The 20,000-nt window shown below is 46.2% G+C and overlaps 1 protein-coding gene across 4 annotated transcripts in view, besides 4 other annotated features; it reads right to left on the bottom strand.

The window, feature by feature from the left end:
- Positions 1 to 5,962, bottom strand: part of VASH2 (vasohibin 2) — a 41,045-nt gene extending 35,083 nt beyond the window's left edge. For 2 of the 4 annotated variants that reach the window (NM_001301056.2, NM_024749.5), the window contains exons 1-2: positions 5,763 to 5,962; positions 4,685 to 5,164 (exon numbers count right to left, since the gene is read on the bottom strand). In NM_001301056.2, the coding sequence (NP_001287985.1) occupies positions 4,685 to 4,960 (276 nt within the window). In that variant the 5' untranslated portion in view covers positions 4,961 to 5,164; positions 5,763 to 5,962. The remainder of the gene's footprint in view (positions 1 to 4,684; positions 5,165 to 5,762) is intronic. The other 2 variants (NM_001136474.3, NM_001136475.3) reach the window with 2 other exon arrangements.
- Positions 1,053 to 1,102: an enhancer, noted in NCBI's record as "active region_2522". NCBI's record gives its function as "activates an Ori minimal core promoter by ATAC-STARR-seq in GM12878 lymphoblastoid cells {active_cell/tissue: GM12878}" and the evidence as "EXISTENCE:reporter gene assay evidence [ECO:0000049][PMID:35858748]".
- Positions 5,257 to 5,306: an enhancer, noted in NCBI's record as "active region_2521". NCBI's record gives its function as "activates an Ori minimal core promoter by ATAC-STARR-seq in GM12878 lymphoblastoid cells {active_cell/tissue: GM12878}" and the evidence as "EXISTENCE:reporter gene assay evidence [ECO:0000049][PMID:35858748]".
- Positions 5,827 to 5,976: an enhancer, noted in NCBI's record as "active region_2520". NCBI's record gives its function as "activates an Ori minimal core promoter by ATAC-STARR-seq in GM12878 lymphoblastoid cells {active_cell/tissue: GM12878}" and the evidence as "EXISTENCE:reporter gene assay evidence [ECO:0000049][PMID:35858748]".
- Positions 18,190 to 18,390: a silencer, noted in NCBI's record as "peak689 fragment used in MPRA reporter construct". NCBI's record gives its function as "represses an SCP1 promoter by STARR-seq MPRAs in K562 erythroleukemia cells {active_cell/tissue: K562}" and the evidence as "EXISTENCE:reporter gene assay evidence [ECO:0000049][PMID:32103011]".

The following is a 20,000-nucleotide window of genomic DNA, read 5'->3' as shown; positions in this document are numbered from 1 at the left end:
TCTGTAGCCCTTCCCCTCAACGGTCTCACCACCTGCTGCCTACGTTAGCCCCACAGCCGTGGCCAGGCTGATGAAGGCACAATCTAGAGGAAACAGATCGAAACCAACCTCTTCACACAGGCACTGTGCCTGTTTTCTAGGGGTGGGGGCCCCAGAAAACTTGAGGGCTAGGGGGCAGGAGGAGGGAGTGGAGTGGACAGAAAGATGGTGTTCAAGAGAAAGAACAATGAAACAAACCACAGGCAAGGCTCTTGTGAGCAGCCTCTCTTCCACTCTGTTCTTGTGAAGCACAACTGACCTGTGGGAAGAACGCAAGGGAAGTGATACGGATGGACAGTTGTGTAACTGAACTGCCGTGTGGCAGAGAAGGGAAAGACCAGGAAAGGAACCAGAGAGGCAGCAAGAACCCCAGGCACTAGGAATCTTTAACAAGAGCAAGGGGAATTCAAAACCTTTTGTCATCCCTACTCTGAAAACACTATGCAGGCACCAGGCAGAAGAATCTTCTTTGGCAGCTTGGGAAGAGAAGCACAAAACAGCACCCATGAGCCCAGAATGAGCCCCAGGCTCCTGCAACAGAGGCAGCCAGGAACCTGTGAAGGGCCTGGGACAGAGGTGCAGGACAGACAGACAGACGGAAGGTTCTCAATCCAGGATGGGGGAGGAAAGGAGATGCCTGCAAGAGGTGGCAGCGGGCAGGGACAGCCCTTGACTGCAGCCAGGTCTCTAGTACCAAACACTCCCGTGTCTTCACTCAGGTGAAGCTCGGTCCTCTAAATGTGAATTATTTTCCAATTGGGAATCAACTCGAGAATAAGGCACAAGAAGTGAGGTCTGCAAGAAACCGACTGCTGTTTCTTGCTGAATCCATCCTGGTTTTCTGCCCCAAGGAGAGTCCAGTTCCAAGCTGTTAAGAAACAGGAGGATTGTCCTAGAATTTTCCTAGAATGCCCACTGTTTTCTTCTGGGCTGGCCACTCTCTCTGAGCCTCGCTTCCCATCTGCTATTATCCTCCAACTGACTCTTGCTGTTTCCTTAAAGTCTTTCTGAAAAATCCTGCCTTTGACCTCGTCAACTGCTAACTTCAGACTCAACAACCTCCAGGGGAGAGGCCTGCAGTCACAAATTTAGAAGGAGGATCTCAAAGCAGGGGAATCCCTGCAAGATGGGGATATCTGGACCTTCAGGCAGAAGTTACCATGGCTGCTAAGGGAATGTCCTGTAGTCAAATGAAGTGTCATTTAGTCCTCCATGCAGGCCCTTGAAAACCTCCCCCATCTACTTCTTTTGCTTCTTAGTCTACATTCAATGGCCAAAAATGGTTAATCCCCCTGAAGCCTGCCAAGCTTTTACCACCGCCGCCACCCTACCACCCTTCTTCTGTACAAATTCCTCAGTAAGATATTGATTTGGTTGATGGAGAAAAGGACTTGACCCCAGAGGAAAGAGTCTGCCATGCTGAGCACAGAAACAACCCTCTAATCCGAGAGGAGTGGCCCCTGGAAAAGGGAGCTTTTGAGGCTCTTCCCATGTTAAGGCCTAGGCAGGGGTCAGGGCTTGGGGAATGTCAGGACCAGGGGAGATACCATGATAGGACTGGGGATAGAGAACCAACCATTAAGATGCAATGTGAGAGAAATGTTAAGTTCTTTATATTTAGGGCCAAAAAGCTGACTGTCCACATTTGGGCTGGGGATTCCTGGCTTGGAAGCAGTTTTCGCGTAACCTTCTAGTTACTATGAAAAGTACAATATGATGTGGCCACTGTGTAAAAAAGGGAAGACCAGCTGGGCGCAGTGGCTCACACTTGTAATCCCGGTACTTTGGGAGGCCGAGGTGGGCAGATCATGAGGTCATGAGTTCGAGACCAGCCTGACCAATATGGTGAAACTCCATCTTACTAAAAATACAAAAAATAGCTGGGCATGGTGACATGTGCCTGTAATCCCAGCTACTCAGGAGGCTGAGGCAGGAGAATTGCTTGAACCCGGGAGGTGGAGGTTGCAGTGAACCGAGATCGCACCACTGCACTCCAGCCTGGGTGACAGAGCAAGACTCCATCTCAAAAGAAAAGGTAACACTTTCTTAAGAACACAGCATTCAGCTACAATAATGGAAAAATCAGGTACAGGTCTCAGGAAGTAGCAGTCTGTGTTCTAAACTGCTCAGACATGATTTAGAAGCCTGTGTTTCATATGTGCTTGCAAATGACTACTGACAAACTAGGAATTGTCTCAGAAGGAGGAGGGTGAGTTGGTCTGGGAGCTATGACATATAAGAAAGGGCAAAAGGCCAGATGCGGTGGCTCACACCTGTAATCCCACCACTTTGGGAAGCCAGTGAGGGAGAATCGCTCGAGCCTAGAAGTTTGAGACCAGTCTGGGCAACACGGTGAGAGCTTGTCTCTACAAAATTTTTTTTTAAGTTAGCCAGGTTGGGTGGTACGTGTCTGTAGTCCCAGCTACACTCAGGAGGCTGAGGTGGGAGGATTGCTTGAGCCTGGGAGGTTGAGGCTGCCGTGAGCCATGATCACACACTGCACTCCAGCCTGGGTGACAGAGGAAGGCCTTGTCTCCAAAATAAGAAAAAAGAAAAGAAAAAGGGCAAAAGGAGCTATCTGTGGACAAAGAAGGCCAAAGGAAGAAGCAGAAGCAGAATGATAGAAAAAGTCACAGTCCTGAGGGCTCATAGTCTAGCAGACCTCTAGCATCACACAGATCAGCATTAGTGACCTGGAGACTCACGGGTCATAACATCATGAGATTTTAGAGCTGGAAAGAACTTACAAAGTCTGGTCTATTCCCATTTTATAGATGAGAAAACTAAGGACAGAGATTTTAAGTGAATGACCTCACTTAAGTGAGGCACAAGGCTAGATGTCATACAACCAAGACTAGGATTCAGTTCCTTGATTTTTACTCCAAGTCCCTTCCATCCTAAGAGCACTCTCTCATAACATTCAAGGGTGCTGTGAGTAGCAAAGGAAGTTGACAATGCTCTGCCCTGATTCAAAAGGCAAGAGGAACACAACAATCAGTGATGAAATGTGATTTGCGGGTGGGAGGGTGCTGCGAGGAGGATTTATGGTTGGTCTAAGAGCTTCCTAACAATCGACTCTGGCCAGGCCTAAGATCAGCTGCCCTGGGAAGCAGCAAGCTCCCCATTCCCAAGAGGTCTTCAGAAAGAGGAGGGGATTCTGTTGAGAGGTGGGAGACTGGTCTCTACAAACAGCAAAATTCCATGATTCCCACATAGAGAATGCACCCCCCCCCGCGCACCCGCATACATGGTTGGAGGAAGGATAAAAGCACAATTAGAGGCAGGGTTGGTACGGGTGCTACTAAGAAAGGCAGCATGGGACAGTAGGAACAGGCGTTTTTTTCCTTGTGGTCACTTTTCTTCCAAGTTTAAGGGCTCTCGGCTCCTCACTGGAGGAAAAATTCTCAAGTCAGAACTGCAAACCAGGAACAAAGGTTGTTCTCATATTCAAGAACTCAGCAAGGGTAATTATGGTTGACACTAAAGCAGGCAAGATTCTAGTTGGGCACAATGAAGATCTCCTTGACCAGCAGAGTAATAGAACACTGTAACTGACTGCAGCAGGAAGTTTAGAGGCTCTGTCACTTCTCCAAGGACACACACAGCTTTCTGGCCTGCAGGCTCAGATGCTCAGCTGTCACCAGGCTGGGGAATCAACCAGATGGCCTTCCGGGTCTCAAGTCTGGCATTCCTAGACCTGCCCAGGAATCTTCTCAGCCGTACCAGCGTCCCCAGGGTCCAGGGGAAACCATCCGCCACGCTATAACCCCGAGGCTCGGCAGCATTTCTCCCCAGTTTGCATTTTGATGTTTCATATAACGTATCTACTCCCACCAGGGTACATCTCCCTCCCTCGGTAAAGATATCCTTAGCCACCAAACCCAAATGGCTCACTGGCTTCTCTCCAAGGCAAAAAGAGAGTTTCACTCCTCATCCTCTTTTTCTATCCAGTGAGACTAATTCATCATGTGTACTGGAAAGTCCCTTTTAAGTCTCAGCCAAAAGTCTTTCTTTTTTCTTGGAGCACAAATAAGCTGGGAAGAGAGAGAGAGAGTTCACCGTTTTGCAAGTTTCAGAGGTGAAAGTCACTGTCACACACACACACACAAAAAAACCAGAAAGAAAAGAAAAAAAACTGGCAAAAAGTCTGGAAATTATTCACACTGAGAAGTCTGACTGGTTGATTTCAAATTCATTCACAGCTTAATAAATCATTTGCTGGGGGAAGAGGGGAGCAGAGGAGGAGCAAGACACTCCAAAGAGAACAAGCAGGGTGGGATCCCTGGGGTCTGTGCATTCTTTGGCATCGCTGGTACCTGGTGGCTCTAGCTTTTGCTGAAGGAGGATGTATGTGGGGGTGAGTAAATAATAGAGTTTGGCTGGAGCTTCAAAGACACCTTGGCACAATCCAATTACACAGTCCCAGGATAGCAAGCCCGCTACCTCTCCCTTCCCCATTTCTTAGGCTTCCAATCTAAATATCTCAATTAGAAAAGGGCTGGCAGGAAGGAATGGGGAGAGGAAGGGAGTTTGTAGCAGGACTAGGAAAATGGAGATTGCCTGTGTTTGCTATGTATAGGCTGAAACGGTCCCATCGCTGCCTACCTACCCCCAGCCCCCCAACTCCGCCCTGGAAGCCACTGACCTTTGCCAAGAAGGCGGCGTTCCTGATGGCGCCCACCATTTCTCCCCCCTTAGGGTGCACCTTGGCCACGTGCATCCACATGCGCTCCCAGGTGTGGCTGTCGATGGGGAAGCCGCTCTTGTTGACGTGGAACAGCACCCCGCCGTCTTTGTCCTCCTCCTCTGAGCCCCCGCTGGTGGCGAGGCTCACGGGCCGCGCGTGGCTGCTCCGGGACCGGGTGCCTTTGGCGCCTTTGGGGTGGGGGCAGCGGTGAGTGTCGGCCGCGGAGCCGGTCATGGTGGGGCCTGGGCGGGGAGCGAGGTACTGGGGGCGCGCGGCGGCGGCAGCGGCGGCGGCGGCGGGGGGCGTGTGCGCGCGGGCGCGGCGAGGGGATCAGCGCCCCGCGGGGGCGGCCTTCTCCATGCCTCTCGCTGCGGCAGGACTCACCAAGGGGGAGCGGCGGCGGGAGCTCCGCGGAGGCTCCCTGCTTACCGGCGGTGCCTGAAATCAGCGGAGACACAGCTGACACCACAGCTAAGTGGACGCACAGCGGAACCGAGTGAGGGGTCCCGGAGTGTCTCCACGACACTCCCCGCTCCCCCCTGCACGCTGACAGCCTCCCTGAGAATCGATGACGGGCTTCCAGCCCTGCGATTACCTAGAAAGGCAGCTCAAAATGTGCCACGAAGCTTCACACACACCTAAACCCGGGGGGTTGGGGATGGAGGGGCACAAGGAGCTTGGGGGATGCGGAGCGCAAGATGTGGGGAGAAGAAAGACAGCTTGTGTAGCATGAAGGAACAGGAGGTTCCCGCAAGGCTCCACACATTCCTGGGTCCTCAGATGTGGCCAAGAGAGGAGGGGAGCCACGAACGTGCTGGCATGTGAGCGCCCAGAGCTGGCGCGAGGGCGCTGCAGCAGCCTTGGCTTGCAAGGCGGCCCGCTTTCTTCCAGGAAGCCCTCCCGGACCCCGGCGGGGATCTAGTGGAAAGAGCTCCATCCGCCCCCTTTTCCCCGAGTTCCAGCGCCTATCACCGGGAGGGACTGGCTGCAGGCGGGCGGCGCGCAGGAAGGGCGCGCGGCAGCTCCAAGATCCTACCTCGGGACGGTTGGCTTCATGGCTGCAGAGCCTCTCCGGGCGGCGGGAGAGCAGGGGCTGCTGCTGCTGCTGCTGGGCCTGGGGCTGGGGCTGGGGCTGCTGGGGCTTGCTGGGGCCGTCGCCTCATTCCATGTCCCATTCTCGAATGTTATTCTGTGACATATAACCAAGTCACCCGGGCAGCCGCCGATGTTCCGAATGCGTCTATTGGCCACCGCAACAAAGAGGGGCGGGTCCCGGGCTCGGGACTCTACAACCCCGGGCTCCGCGACGCTCTGATTGGCTCCAGGGGTTCTCTGGCGGGAGGGGACAGGAGTAGGGGGAGCCTGGCGGCCACGCGAAATCCGATCGCTGTGGTGTCCTGAGAGCCCCGCGGGCTGGAGCGTTTGGCCATGGGACTTAAGATCGAGTTTCCCCAGGGGTCGTGGCACTTCGAGGGTTTGCAACTGTGGAAGCAGAGGAGAAACAAAACCACCCGAGAAGTGACCCCGCGGAAGCAGAGGGTTTGGCATCAGAAGAGCATTCCCTGAGGGACGCTGGACACACTTACCTGCCTCTACCCGGGATGATGAGTTGTTCATCCTCTACCTGGGATGATGAGGGGCTGTTCATACCTATGCGTGAAATTAAATCTTTTTTAAATCCCGCATTTAAAAATTCCTCAAAATTAACAAGTGGGTGCAGCTTTGGATCCTCTGGTATTAGTCATGGTTAATAAAGTCCCTTTAAGCCCAAGTTGAGAGGAGACAATAAAACTCAAGAGGTCAGGCAGGCCCTGACTGTTCTGCCACAGCTGTTGAGTGAGAGGAGGGATGGAGAGATGCTTCCAAACCATGGTGAAGTGGGTGGCTATCCCACACTCACTACTGAAACACCTTCTCTTTCTTTTTCTTTAAGAAAGAGGAGAGCAGGTTGAGGTGGGAAGAGCACCAGACTGCTGACCTGAAGGCTGGCTCCTGGTCCAGGTTTGTCACTTTGCTCAGCTGTGTGACCCTGGACAAGCCACTTCCCTGCTCTGGGCCTTAGCTTCTCTTTCTGAAAGGAGAGCAGACCTCCCGCTCTCCAGGGTCTGTTCTGGCTGTAAGGTTCTGTGATTCCCTGACTTCCTCTCTTGTGACACTGAGGATCCTGGCCATAGCATCCTTTCTCTTTAAACTGCAGGCCAGCAGGCCAGCTCTGAGCAAAGCAGTTATGAGACCTATGCTAAGTGAACCTTGAATTAAGAAGACAGTTGTCAAAGTGCCACTGATGGCGGGTCAGTTTCTGGATGCTTATCCTGACAAGTTGCCTGTCATGGAACTGGAACTTCTCTTCCACAGGAGGGCAGAGACCCCTGAGGGGTAGTTGAGAGCCAGGGCTTGGGTGAGGAGACCTGGATTCTGGACTTAGCCCTGCACTGCTCCCTGAGACAGAGCCCATGCCAAGAACTTTATAGATTCAATAATGAGAATAGGGCAGACGTGGTGCCTCACACCTTTAAACCCAGCACTTTGGGAGAAAGAGGAGGAAGGATTACTTGAGGCCAGGAATTAGAGACTGGACCAACATAGCGAGACCTTGTCTCTACTAAATAAATATTTTGAAATTAGCCAGATGTGGTGGCACACACCTGTAGTCCCAGCTACTCAAAAGGCTGAAGTGGACATGTAGAATGAAACTGGATCCTCGTCTCTCACCTTACACAAAAATCAACTCCAGATGGATCAAAGACTTAAGTCTAAGACCTGAAACCATAAAAATTCTAGAAGATAACATGAGAAAAACACTTCTAGACATTAGCTCAGGCAAAGAAATCATGACTAAGACCTCAAAAGCAAATGTAACAAAAATGAAAATAAATAAATGAGACCTAATTAAACTAAAAAGGGTCTGCACAGCAAAAGAAATAATCAGCGGAGTAAACCGACAATCCACAGAGTGCGAGCAAATATTCACAAACTGTGCATCTGACAAAGGACCAGTATCCAGAATCTACAAGGAACCCAAACAGATCAGCCAGATAAAACCAATCCCATCAAAAAATTGGCAAAGGACATGAATAGACAATTTTCAAAAGAGGATATACAGTCAACAAACATATGAAAAAATGTTCAACATCACTAATTATCAGAGACATACAAATTAAACCACCATAAGATACCATCTTACTCTTGCGAGAATTGTCATAAAAGTCAAAAAATAATAGATTTTGATGTGGATGTGGCAAAAAGGGAACATGCATAAAACTGCTGGTGAGAATGTAAACTAGTACAACCACTATAGAAAACAGCAAGATTCCTTAAGGAACTAGAAGTAGAGCTAAAGCTACCATTCGATGCATCATTCCCATGGCAGGGTATCCACCCAAAGGAAAAGAAGTCATTATATGAAAAAGACACGTGCACATGCATGTTTATAGCAGCACAATTTGCAATTGCAAAAATATGGGACCAACCTAAGCGCCCATTAACTAATGAGTGGATAAAGAAAATGTAGTATATAGGCCGGGCGTGGTGGCTCATGTCTGTAATCCCAGCACTTTGGGAGGCCCAGGCAGGCGGATCGCGAGGTCAGGAGATCCGAGACCATCCTGACTAACATGATGAAACCCCGTCTCTACTAAAAATACACAAAATTAGCCGGGCATGGTGGTGGGCGCCTGTAGTCCCAGCCACTCGGGAGGCTGAGGCAGGAGAATGGCGTGAACCTGGGAGGCGGAGCTTGCAGTGAGCTGAGATGGCGCCACTGCACTCCAGCCTGGGCAACAGAGCAAGACTCTGTCTCAAAAAAAAAAAAAAAAGAAAGAAAGAAAATGTGGTATATATACACCATGGAATACTACTCAGTCATAAAAAGGAATGAAATAATGTCTTTTGCAGCAACTTGGATGAAGCTAGAGGCCATTATTCTAAGTGAAGTAACTCAGGAATGGAAATCCAAAAATCATATATTTTTATTTATAAGTGGGAGCTAAGCTATGAGGATGTAAAGAATGATATAATGGACTTTGGGAACTCAGTGGTGGGCCGGGAAGGGGAGGATGAGTGTGAGGGATAAAAGACTATATATTGGGCCTGGTGGGGTGGCTCATGCCTGTAATCCCAGCACTTTGGGAGGCTGAGGCGGGTAGATCCCCTGAGGTCAGGAGTTCGAGACCAGCCTGGCCAACATGATGAAACCCCATCTCTACTAAAAATACAAAAATTAGCTGGGCATGGTGGCACAGCACCTGTAATCCCAGCTACTCAGGAGGCTGAGGCATGAGAATCACTTGAACCCAGGAGGCGGAGGTTGCAGTGAGCTGAGATTGCACCACTGCACTCCAGCCTGGGTGATGGAGTGAGACTCTGTCTCAAAAACAAAACAAAAACAACAAAAAAAGGGCTACATATTGGGTACAATACACACTGCTCAGATGATAGGTGCACTAAATTCCCAGAAATCATCACTGAAGAACTTATCCATGTAACCAAAAACGATGTGTACCCCAAAAACTATTGAAATTAAAATTAAAATTTTTTTAAAGGCTGAGATGAGAGGATTGCTTGAGCCTAGGAGTTCAAGATTATAGTGGGCTATAATCACACCACTGCACTCCAGCCTGGTTGACAGAGTGAAACTCCATTTCTAAAAGTAAAACAAAAATAAATAATGAGAATAATACCTTAGGTTCATAGAGACAAAGGAAATGGGCCAATTCATGAAATTGTCTGACTCATTTGACTGCAAGAAGAACACCTGGAAAAAAAAGCAAGAAGTGAAAGAAAATTATCCCCTCAACCTATAATTGCCTCAGTTTTCATTTCCTGATTAAAAGAAAACATGTCTCAGAGAGTGATCTATTTTCTCATCTTGAACATTCTTCTTCCCTTCTTTTTGCATTCACCTCTCAAATCCACCCTTTTCTCCACATTTCCCGGGAGTTTCAAGTCCAGGAGACTAGAATTTCAGGATGAGGACCTGTATGCAGAGAATGAGGATTTGACCTGACAGTCCCTCTGGAGAAAACTGAGCTCTCAAAGCTCAGGTGAACAGACCAGTTGGTGAATATCGAAGAATGTCTGGCAAGGGTCACCTTCCTTGGAATCACTTCCCAGTGTCCCCACTCAGGTCAAGTCCGAGCTCCTACGATTACCCTGTTAAGCCAGAGCCTGCATCCTGCTTTACCTGAATTAAAGTCCCGGGGACCTGAGAGGGTTATCAGTTCATCTTCCTGCCTCCAGGCACCTCAGGACTCCCTGACAGTTGAGGAGAAGAGCTTTTGCTGTTCATCTCCAATATTCCAATTATCTTTTCTTCTCTTCCCCAGCAGTGGGATGGAGTGGAGAACCAAGTGGCATGGCACATGAGTATAGTTAGGAGATTTTGCTACTTCTCCAAAGAGCTGGTAAGGAAGCTTCTGAAGTGAATTGTGCTGTCTCAGCAAGGGCATTGTCAGGCAGAAGGGCTGTCTTATTCAGAATTCCTTCTCATTTGACAGTTGAACTAGGCTGCATGGGCCGGCCAACTTTGTTCTCCATTTCCTTGTGTATTTTGTGTTATATGACACTCCAGTGAACCCAGGCAAGTTAGATTAAGGATTTTGAATGTTCTGGTAGTTAGTAAGACTGACACAGCCACATATACACACTGCAAATTGGACAAGACCAATTTGCAGTTTGAGCAAGGACATGGTGGCTGGATGCTCAACCTCTGAGAGAAAGGCCACTTGTATTTGTTGGCATAACTACCGGTATAGCAGGGAAGCGTAGTGGAAAAGTTTGGAATGAGAAGAACTGGACTTAGATAATATCTCATTATTCAAATGCCAGCTGCTATCATGATGAGAAATAAGACAAAATCCTACCCTGATGGTTCATATTTCTAGCTCTACTAGTTATTAATGGTAAAATTTTGGGTAAGTTACTCAGCATCTATGAGCCTTAATTTCCTCATGAAGACGGTATGATACTACTCTAGAGGGATATTGTGAGGACAGAGAGGTAAGGTATGTAAAAACACATGCTAAATTCCTGGTACATGTAAGTTGGGCTTTCATCTGAATCTGAGACAGTGACACAAACAGATTTGGAGACATCTGTTCCCAGCACATTTCACTGCCTGGGAGTCAAGACTGAGAAATTACTGCAGCTGCCCAGGGAAAGGGATGTATATTTCAAACAAGCCATGGGTGTGTGGAGGGGAAAAGAAAAAGCTGAGAGGCATAGGAGTAGGCGGGCAGTGGCACACAGGAACAGGAAGAATTTGTTTCTGCCTCTATTGACAGCACAGAGGAAGATCTACCCAGTTATGGGTTGAATTGTGTGTCCCCATCCCCAAATTCGTATGTTCGTATGTTGAAGTTCCAACCCCTAGCACTTCACAATGTAACCTTATTCAAAAATAGAGTCTTTGCAAACATAATTAGTTAAGATGAGGTCATACCAGAGTAGTAAGACTGATATCCTTATAAAAGGGAAACTTGGATGCAGAGACAGACATGTGCACAGAGAGAACACCATGTGAAGATAGGAGTGTTGCTGCCACAAGCCAAGGAACTACCAGAATCCAGGAGAGAGGCCTGGAACAGACCCTTTCCTGCACCCTCAGAGGGATCCTGGCCTTGCCAATACCTTGCTCTCAGACTTCCAGCCTCCAGAAGTGTGGGATGATAAATTTCTGTTTAAGCCACTCAGTTTGTGGCACTTTGTTTTTTTGTTTGTTTGTTTTGAGACAGAGTTTCGCTCTGTCGCCCAGGCTGGAGGTGCAGTGGTGCAATCTCAGCTTACTGCAACCTCCGTCTCCTGGGTTCAAGTGATTCTCCTGCCTCAACCTCCCAATTAACTGGGATTACAGGCACCCACCATCACGCCCTGCTAATTTTTGTATTTTTAGTAGACATGGGGTTTCACCACATTGGCCAGGCTGGTCTCGAACTCCTGACATGAGGTGAACCACCCTCCTCAGCCTCCCAAAGTGCTGGGATTACAGGCATAAGCCACCGTGCCCAGACAGTTTGTGGCACTTTGTTTTAGTGGCCCTAGCAAACTAATACACCCCATATGAGGCTGATACCCACATGGGGCTGATGAAAGTTCAGCCCATGTGTTCGGGGCCTATGATCATCCTGATGAGGGATGTTACCACTGCACTGAACTAGTGAACTGACTTTTTCACTAAATATCAACACTAATATTCTGTAAATCATGAGATTTAGCAATCCTGCTGTGTTCTAGGACCACAGAAGAGAATGCCAAATGAGGAACTTAAGCGTCTTTCCTGGAGGTCTCAGAAAAATCAAATAGCTTCTTCATCTCTCACTTCCCTAAAGGATATTTTGCATATATTCCATGGTAGTATCTGAATCACATATATTGTCACCTATTCATAGGCACAGGCTGGAGTGCAGTGGCGCAATCTCAGCTCACTGCAGCCGTGACTTCCTGGGCTCAGGTGATCCTCCCACCACAGTATCTTGAGTAGCTGGGACCACAGGTGCACATCACTACATTCAGCTATTTTTTCTTTTTATTTTTTTTGTAGAGACAGGATGTATTCGTCCATTCTCACATTGCTATAAAGAACTGCCAGGCTGGGCGCGGTGGCTCATGCCTGTAATCCCAGCACTTTGGGAGGCCAAGGTGGGTGGATCACGATGTCAGGAATTCGAGACCAGCCTAACCAACATGGTGAAAGCCTGTGTCTACTAAAAATACAAAAATTAGCCGGGCATGGCGGAACGCACCTGTAATCCCAGCTACTCAGGAGGCTGAGGCAGGAGAATCACTTGAACTCGGGAGGCAGAGATTGCAGTGAGCTGAGATCGTGCCACTGCACTCCGGCCTGGGCAACAGAGCAAGACTCCATCACAAAACAACAACAAAAACAAACAAAAAAAGAACTGCCTGAGACTAGGTAATTTATAAAGAAAATAAATTTAATTGGCTCATGTTTCCACGGACTGTACAGGAAGCATGGCTGGGGAGGCCTCAAGAAACTTATAATCATGGTGGAAGGTGAAGGGGAAGCAGGCACATCCTACTTGTCTGGAGCAGGAGGAAGAGAGCAAAGGGAAAGGTGCTACACACTTCTAAACAACCAGATCTCATGAGAACTCATTATCACTAGAATAGCAAGGGGAAAATTCACCCCCATGACCCAATCACCTCCCACTAGGCCCCTCCTCCAACATTGGGGATTACAGTGCGACATGAGATTTGGGCAGGGACACAAATCCAAGCCATATCACGGGGTTTCACCATGTTACGCAAGCTGGTCTCAAACTCGGGCTTGAGAGATCCACTGGCCTCAGCCTCCCAAAGTGCTGAGATTACAGAAGTGAGCCACCATGCCTGGCCTGTTTTGTACCATTTCTAATTGGTTTGGATCTAGTTCTTGCCACAAAAAGAGCAAAACAAAAAGTAACACTTATCAAGTACTTTATGTCAAGCACAATCTAAGCACCTCACTTGCATTATGTCATTTAATGCTCACAAGAAATCTATGCTGTAAGTTTTAAACTGAAACTGGAAAAGGTTAAACAGTTGGCCCAAAGTCCAGCCAGCAAAGGAAAACCACAAAAATAACTTGTCCATTTCAGCCTCAGCTCTGAATAGAAAAAAAGCATAATAATAAAAAAGTTTCCTTCAAGAGTTTGTAACTATATTATCTGGCCTTGCAGTTAACTTATACTATCTGGATAGTTCAGGAAAACCCAAGCTGAAAAATTATGTTTAAATAGTGCCAGGCTGATAACGTCCTTAGGTGCCTGGAAACAGCAAATGAACATCTTCTCTGGATAAACACATCCTCAACCCAGGCCCACAGGTAATCCTAAAGACCTCAGGCAAACAGAAACCCATGTCTACAAATTACCAAGTCACAAGGAAGCAAGCCACCAAAATCAAGAGTCAGCATACACAACTAGAGTTAAATCTCTAAAGACTTCAGATACTAAAATTAGATGCAGGCTGGGCGTAGTAGTGGCTCACACCTGTAACCCCAGCAGTTTGGGAGGCCGAGGTGGGCGGATCACTTGAGGCCAGGAGTTTGAGACCAGCCTGGCCAACATGGCGAAACTCCGTCTCTATAAAAAAAGCACAAAAAATTAACTGGCCATGGTGGTACATGACTGTGGTCCCAGCTACTCAGGAGCCTGAGGTGGGAGGATTGCTTGAGCCTAGGAGTTCAAGGCTGTAGTGAGTAGAGATTGCAACACTGCACTCTGGCCTGGGCAACAGAGCGAGATTCTGTCAAAAAAAAAAAAAAAAAAGTCACTAGAACTTATCACTTACACCCTGAGAAACAGGCATTATGAAGTCTGCCCTGAGGATAGGGAAAGTTCCTTCCTTAGACCCTGATTCTGCTTTCTGGAAAGATTCTTTATCCTGTGTTATCGTAGCCCCTCACTCTGCTCTCTGGTTCTTCTATGGACACATCTGAAGTGGCTACATCCTTAGGGGGCTGCAGAGCTCTTACAGCCAATGCCATGGTGGTGTGAATTTAAGGACTTTAGGATTAATTTAAAGTTTAAATAGTCAAAGCCTTTTTCAAAGTTGCATTTGTGATTTCTTTGGCTATACAATTCCTTACAAATTTCGTAGCCTTCTAACCTATTTGCTTCTAGATAGTTCCATATGCCAACAAGCACATCCAAATTTCTCTTTTAAATAAAATTCCCAAACCTCATTAATTTCCTTGTTCCCATGCCTTTCTGTTTCACCTAATAATGGTTATTTTGAGGCCATCTGAAATAATAGGCTTGAATGAGAAGTCTAAACTTCCAATCCGATCTTTGCCATAGACTCAATCACTTTGTTTTTTTTTTTTAGAAAGTGTTAATTGGCGTTAGTCATTCAAAACTTTTATTAGTCTTACTTTGTATTTGGGGTCTAAAAGCAATTTTTTTCTAACACAAGAAAGCCCCAAATATCTGTGCTCAGTCCATTCTTTTCCATTTTTCATGTATTAGTCAATTCTTTCCAGGGATCATCTCTTTATCTAAAAACCTTACTAAACAAAGCAAAAGATAACCAACACATGCTAACACTCTGGCTCTTTCCAACAACTTCCTTTGAAGCAGCTGAATCAGTAGTAGGCACTTGATCAGATTTGCAATCAAGTCACTGCAAGTAACCATTTTACCAAGTGTTTTGTTACTACATAACCTAGGTTCCTATCTTCCCAGCCTATGATGTGTATTTCCTTGCCGTGTGCCAACAGATCACTGTGATAGGATCACATGTTTAGGATCCCACTTCTAGTACTGATAGGAAAGGCTAAACAGTAATGAGTTAAGCATGCAACATGAGAAGTTACAAAACAGCAACTGAATTAACTTAAAGAAAATAAAAAGGGAAATAATAAACAAAAGAACAGGTATAAATTAAAAAAAAAAGAAAGAAAGTTATGGGAGACAGGATCAGCAAAACCAAAAGTTGATTTTTTTAAAAAACTAATGAGCTAAAAAAAAACCTCTGATAAGACAAATAAGAAACAAGAGGAATGACTTAAGCAATAATAGAAACAAATGAAGTTGGAAGAGAAATTATAGATATGACAGGTTAAAAAGATAATAGAATACTGCGAAAACATTATGCCAATGAATTTGAAAACAAAGTCAACAACTTAAATTTCTTTCTGCCTGCTACATCTCTACTGAAAGTAAAACAATAACAAAAATTAGCCGGGCATGGTGGCATGGGCCTATAGTCCCAGCTACTCGGGAGGCTGAGGTGGGAGAGTCATATGAGCCCAGGAAGTCAAGGCTGCAGTGAGCTGTGATTGTATCACTGTACTCCAGCCTGGGCAACAGGAGTGAGACCCTGTCTCAAAAAACAAACAAACAAACAGAAAACAATTTTAATTTTTTTTTTAATTGGAGTTTTTGTCCCTCAGGCTGGAGTGCAATGGTGCGATCTTAGCTGACTGCAACCTCTGCCTCCTGGGTTCTAGCAATTCTCCTGCCTCAGCCTCTCGAGTAACTGGTATTACAGGCACCCGTGACCACATCCAGCTAATTTTTGTATTTTTAGTAGAGATGGGGTTTCACCATATTGGTCAGGCTGGTCTAGAACTCCTGACCTCGGATGATCCACCCATCTCAGTCTCCCAAAGTGCTGGGATTACAGGAGTAAGCCACCATACCCGGCTAACAATTTAAATTTCTAAGGAAACATATTTTCAAAACTGACTTGAGAAAAAATAGAAAACCTTAGTAGTCCTACAACTGTTAAAATTTACCCTCCAAAAAAATCACCTGACCCAGAGAGTTTTACTTGAGTCACATCAAATATTGAAGAAACAAATCCTCTATGAAATCTTTGAGAAAACAGAAAAAGAACCATTCCCCCATTAATTGTATTAAGCTGGTAAAATCTTGGTATAAGACAAAGAAAGTACAAGATAGGAACATTACTGATAATCTTACTTTTGAACATAAGTGAAAATATCCTAAACAAAATATCCACAAATGGAATCCAGCAATGTATAAAAGCTATCATGCCTCACAACCAAGTTGAAGCTGGATTCCTACCTCCTGCTATATAAGAAAATTAATTCCACATGAGTTTGTCAGTCATAGCTTCATCACTATGAGCCTTATGGTGTTGTGCCATAGTAAGTATACAATAGCACCTATGAAGTGTTCTTGCCTTAAAAAAACACAATTGAACCCGTAATTAAGTGTCTGGATCTAAAGAACAACTTTTAGGAATAAAAGGGATATCTGAGGAGGGTGAATTACTTGACGCCAGGAGTCTGAGACCAGTATGGTCAACATGGTGAAACCCCAACTCTACAAAAAAATACAAAAAAAAAAAAAATTTTAAGTGGGGATTGAAGAAACAGTTGAGTGACACCAGAAGGAAACAATCAGTCAAATTCAGAATGTGAGACAAATGTTACACTGTCTCTAACAAATTAATGGCAAACTGATGGCAATGGGGAAAAAAAAGTGTGGGATGGGGTGGTGAATTACCCAAATAGAACTGAAAAGATTTAAGATACATAGCAATCAAATGCAATGTGTGGACTTTGCTTCAATTCTATTTCAAATAAACAGCTATAAAACCAAAACCAACCAAAATAAAACAAACTCGTATGAGAGAATTAAGGAAATCTGAATATAGACTAAGCATTATATAATGTTACAAAACTATTGATAATTTGTTAGCTTTATCAGTGACGTGGTTATGTAAAATCTCAGAAACACATAATGAATATTTATGGATGAAATGACACAATGTTTAGGACTTGCTTTACAATGTTGCAGTAAAAAAACAGTTGGTAAAATGCTCATAATTGTTGAAACTAAAAGATGGGTACACAGAGTCAGTAAATGATTTTCTCAATGTTTATGAATGTTTGACATTTTCCATATAAAACAAAGACAATGTGTGTATTAATAGCTTATTAATAAATGTATCAGACACATCCCATGTGCTGCCTCAGATTCCCTAGGTCTAGCTTTTCTCCTTGCTCCACAGCTACCTCCATGGCCAACTAGATCTGTGCATTCAGCCATCTGCGACTGACTAGTCACTTGCCCAGAAGTGCTCAGCTCTCCATTTGGCTGCTGCTGCACAATAAGGCTGGCCAGCCACCTGTCTGGAGTCTCTGGTCCTCTACCACTTCTGGACTCAGATGAAACGCCACACTGTAGGATGTGGCATCTGGCTTCCGAGCAGCCAGAGGGGCTGGATGATGCAACCTAGGGAATTAATTCCCTATGGGGAGCATATTGACCAATGAGAAACAAGATGGGAGGGAGGCCGGGCGCGGTGGCTCAGGCCTATAATCCCAGCACTTTAGGAGCCTGAGGCAGGTGGATCATTTTGAGGCCAGGAGTTTGAGACCAGCCTGGCCAACATGGTGAAACACCATCTCTACTAAAAATACAAGAAATTAGCCCGTTGTGGTGGTACACCCCTGTAATCCCAGCTACTCAGGAGGCTGAGGCATAAGAATTGCTTGAACCCAGCAGGCGGAGGTTGCAGTGAGCCAAGATTGCCCCACTGCACTCCAGCCTCAGGAACGGAGTGAGACTCTGTCTCAAAAAAATAAAATTAAAATTAAATTAAATAAAAATAAAAACCAACAAACCAGGATGGGAGGGAGCTGGTCAGATAAATTCCTTTTCTTCCCTCCTATGAACTGTTCTGAGTTGTGGTTTTCCAAAATAGCCTGTCCAGAGATGTCCTGTATGGCTGAGCAGACATACCTACTAAGTAACCTGCCATGGCTCTTTGCCTCTGGTCATGAAGCAGTTGCCTATATGATAACATGCCACCTTGCATTGCTTCTCATCCTAGCCAATGTCATTTCCCTTTTTACTCACTCTGTCTGCCTTCCCAATCAGCATTTAATCTTTGTTTCAGATTCTGTTTTCTAGAGAAAATAAGTTAAGACAACTGGGTCCACAAGTAGTTCTAGAAAGCAAATCCTCAAGATAAATTTTGGGTTTGTATAGCTCACCTTCCTGAAATCAATAGAGACCTCTCTAAGGCAGATGGTGATAACCCTGATATGCAATAGCACCATAGCTTTCACTTGGGTTTAATTGGGGTAAACTGTATGGAGAGCAAGACATTGGAAGATCAAGTGGCTGTGATAATCAGCTCAGAAACAATGATAATTATAAGGCACTGGAGATCTTGGAAACAAAAAATAGCCTCAGAGCCAAGTCATACAATGCTTTAAAGCCAGAAAGCCTCTATGGAAACTTTAAGAGAAAGTCTTATTTCCTGTATTCATAGGATAGGCTCTTAAAATCAAGCCCAAGATCAAAGGGTAGCAGAATGGCAAAGGAAACTAAACGCATGCCCTTGACAGCCTGCCATGTCAAAGTGAGAGCCCAGATAGGAAAAGACTGGGACAATAAGACCTGGGATAGGGATATAAGAGTGGATGAGCATCTTGACCATTCAAATGCCCTGAAGTCTCCTGCCCAAAGAAGACCCACTTCCTCATGATTTGTTCTCCTCAAGACCTGGCCCCACCCCTTATTGCCTCCAACAATACCAGAGTCAGGTTATAGCACAGCCCATACTGGGAAGAAAATGCCCTGCTCCAGGGGGAAAAAACATATTTGCCAAAGATATTGCAGAGCTTGGCTAATGTGGACTGGCAGGAATTGTGGAAACGTGTGTGGACTCGACTGGGTGTCAGCTTGACTTGGGTTAAGGGTTATCCAGATAGGTGGTAAAGCATTATTTCTGGGTATTTTTGTGAGTTGTTTCCAGAAGAGATTTGACTTTCTTACTCCCTGGACTGAGTAAGGAAGATCTGCCCTCACCCAATATGGGCAAGCATCACTCAATCCATTGAGGGCCCTCATAGAACAAAAAGGCAAAGCAAGTGCAAATTCTCTCTCTCTCTCTTCATGAGCTGGGGCATCCATATTCTCCTGCCCCCAGACATCAGAACTCCATGTTCTTTGGCCTACAGACTTTGAGGCTTCTACCCAAGCTGCCCCCACCCCCTCTTCTCAGGCCTTTGGGCCCTGGAGTGAGAGTTACACCATCAGCCACCCTGGCTCTCGGGCCTTTGGACTCAGACTGAATTACACCACCAGTTTCCCTAGTTTCTCCAGCTTGCAGACAGCAGATTGTGGGACTTCTCAGCTTTCATAATTGCCTGAGCCAATTCCCATAATAATTCCCTTATATATCAGTGTAGATATCCTACCAGTTCTGTCTCTCTGGAGAACCCTGGCTAATACACACATACAGAACGTGAGAATTAACGTTCAGCGGGGAAGGCTGGAGCTTGTCCTAGTTGTTTTCTGGGATGGCTCTTGAAAGCCTGGTCTCAGCAATGGCCTACAATAAGCAAAGTGGAGAAGCCAGATTTCCTTATGTATTATTGAGGAAGGAGTCAGAAGACTCAGGGAGGTGGGAGTATTTGAAGTGTTTCCCAGGTATGGCTCAAGAACCCACCACCTGCCTGGTTCCCTGGGCTGGCCCAGAGGACACTCCCTGCTAAGCCAATAGAGAATACACTATTGGCCAAGTACGGTAGCTCACACCTGTAATCCCAGCACTTTGGGAGGCAGAGGTGGGTAGATCACCTGAGGTCAGGGGTTCAAGACAAGCCTGGCCAACATGGCAAAAACCTGTCTCTACCGAAAATATAAAAATTAGCTAGGTGTGGTGGCACACTCCTGTAATCCCAGCTACTCAAGAGACCAAGGCAGGAGAATTGCTTGAACTCAGGAGACAGAGGTTGCAGTGAACCGAGATCATGCCACATTACACTCCAGCCTGGGCGACAGAGCGAGAT

This window comes from Homo sapiens, chromosome 1, assembly GCF_000001405.40.
Source record: "Homo sapiens chromosome 1, GRCh38.p14 Primary Assembly".
Classification (NCBI taxonomy): Eukaryota; Metazoa; Chordata; class Mammalia; order Primates; family Hominidae; genus Homo; species Homo sapiens.
This window is presented reverse-complemented; position numbering and strand designations above follow the sequence as displayed.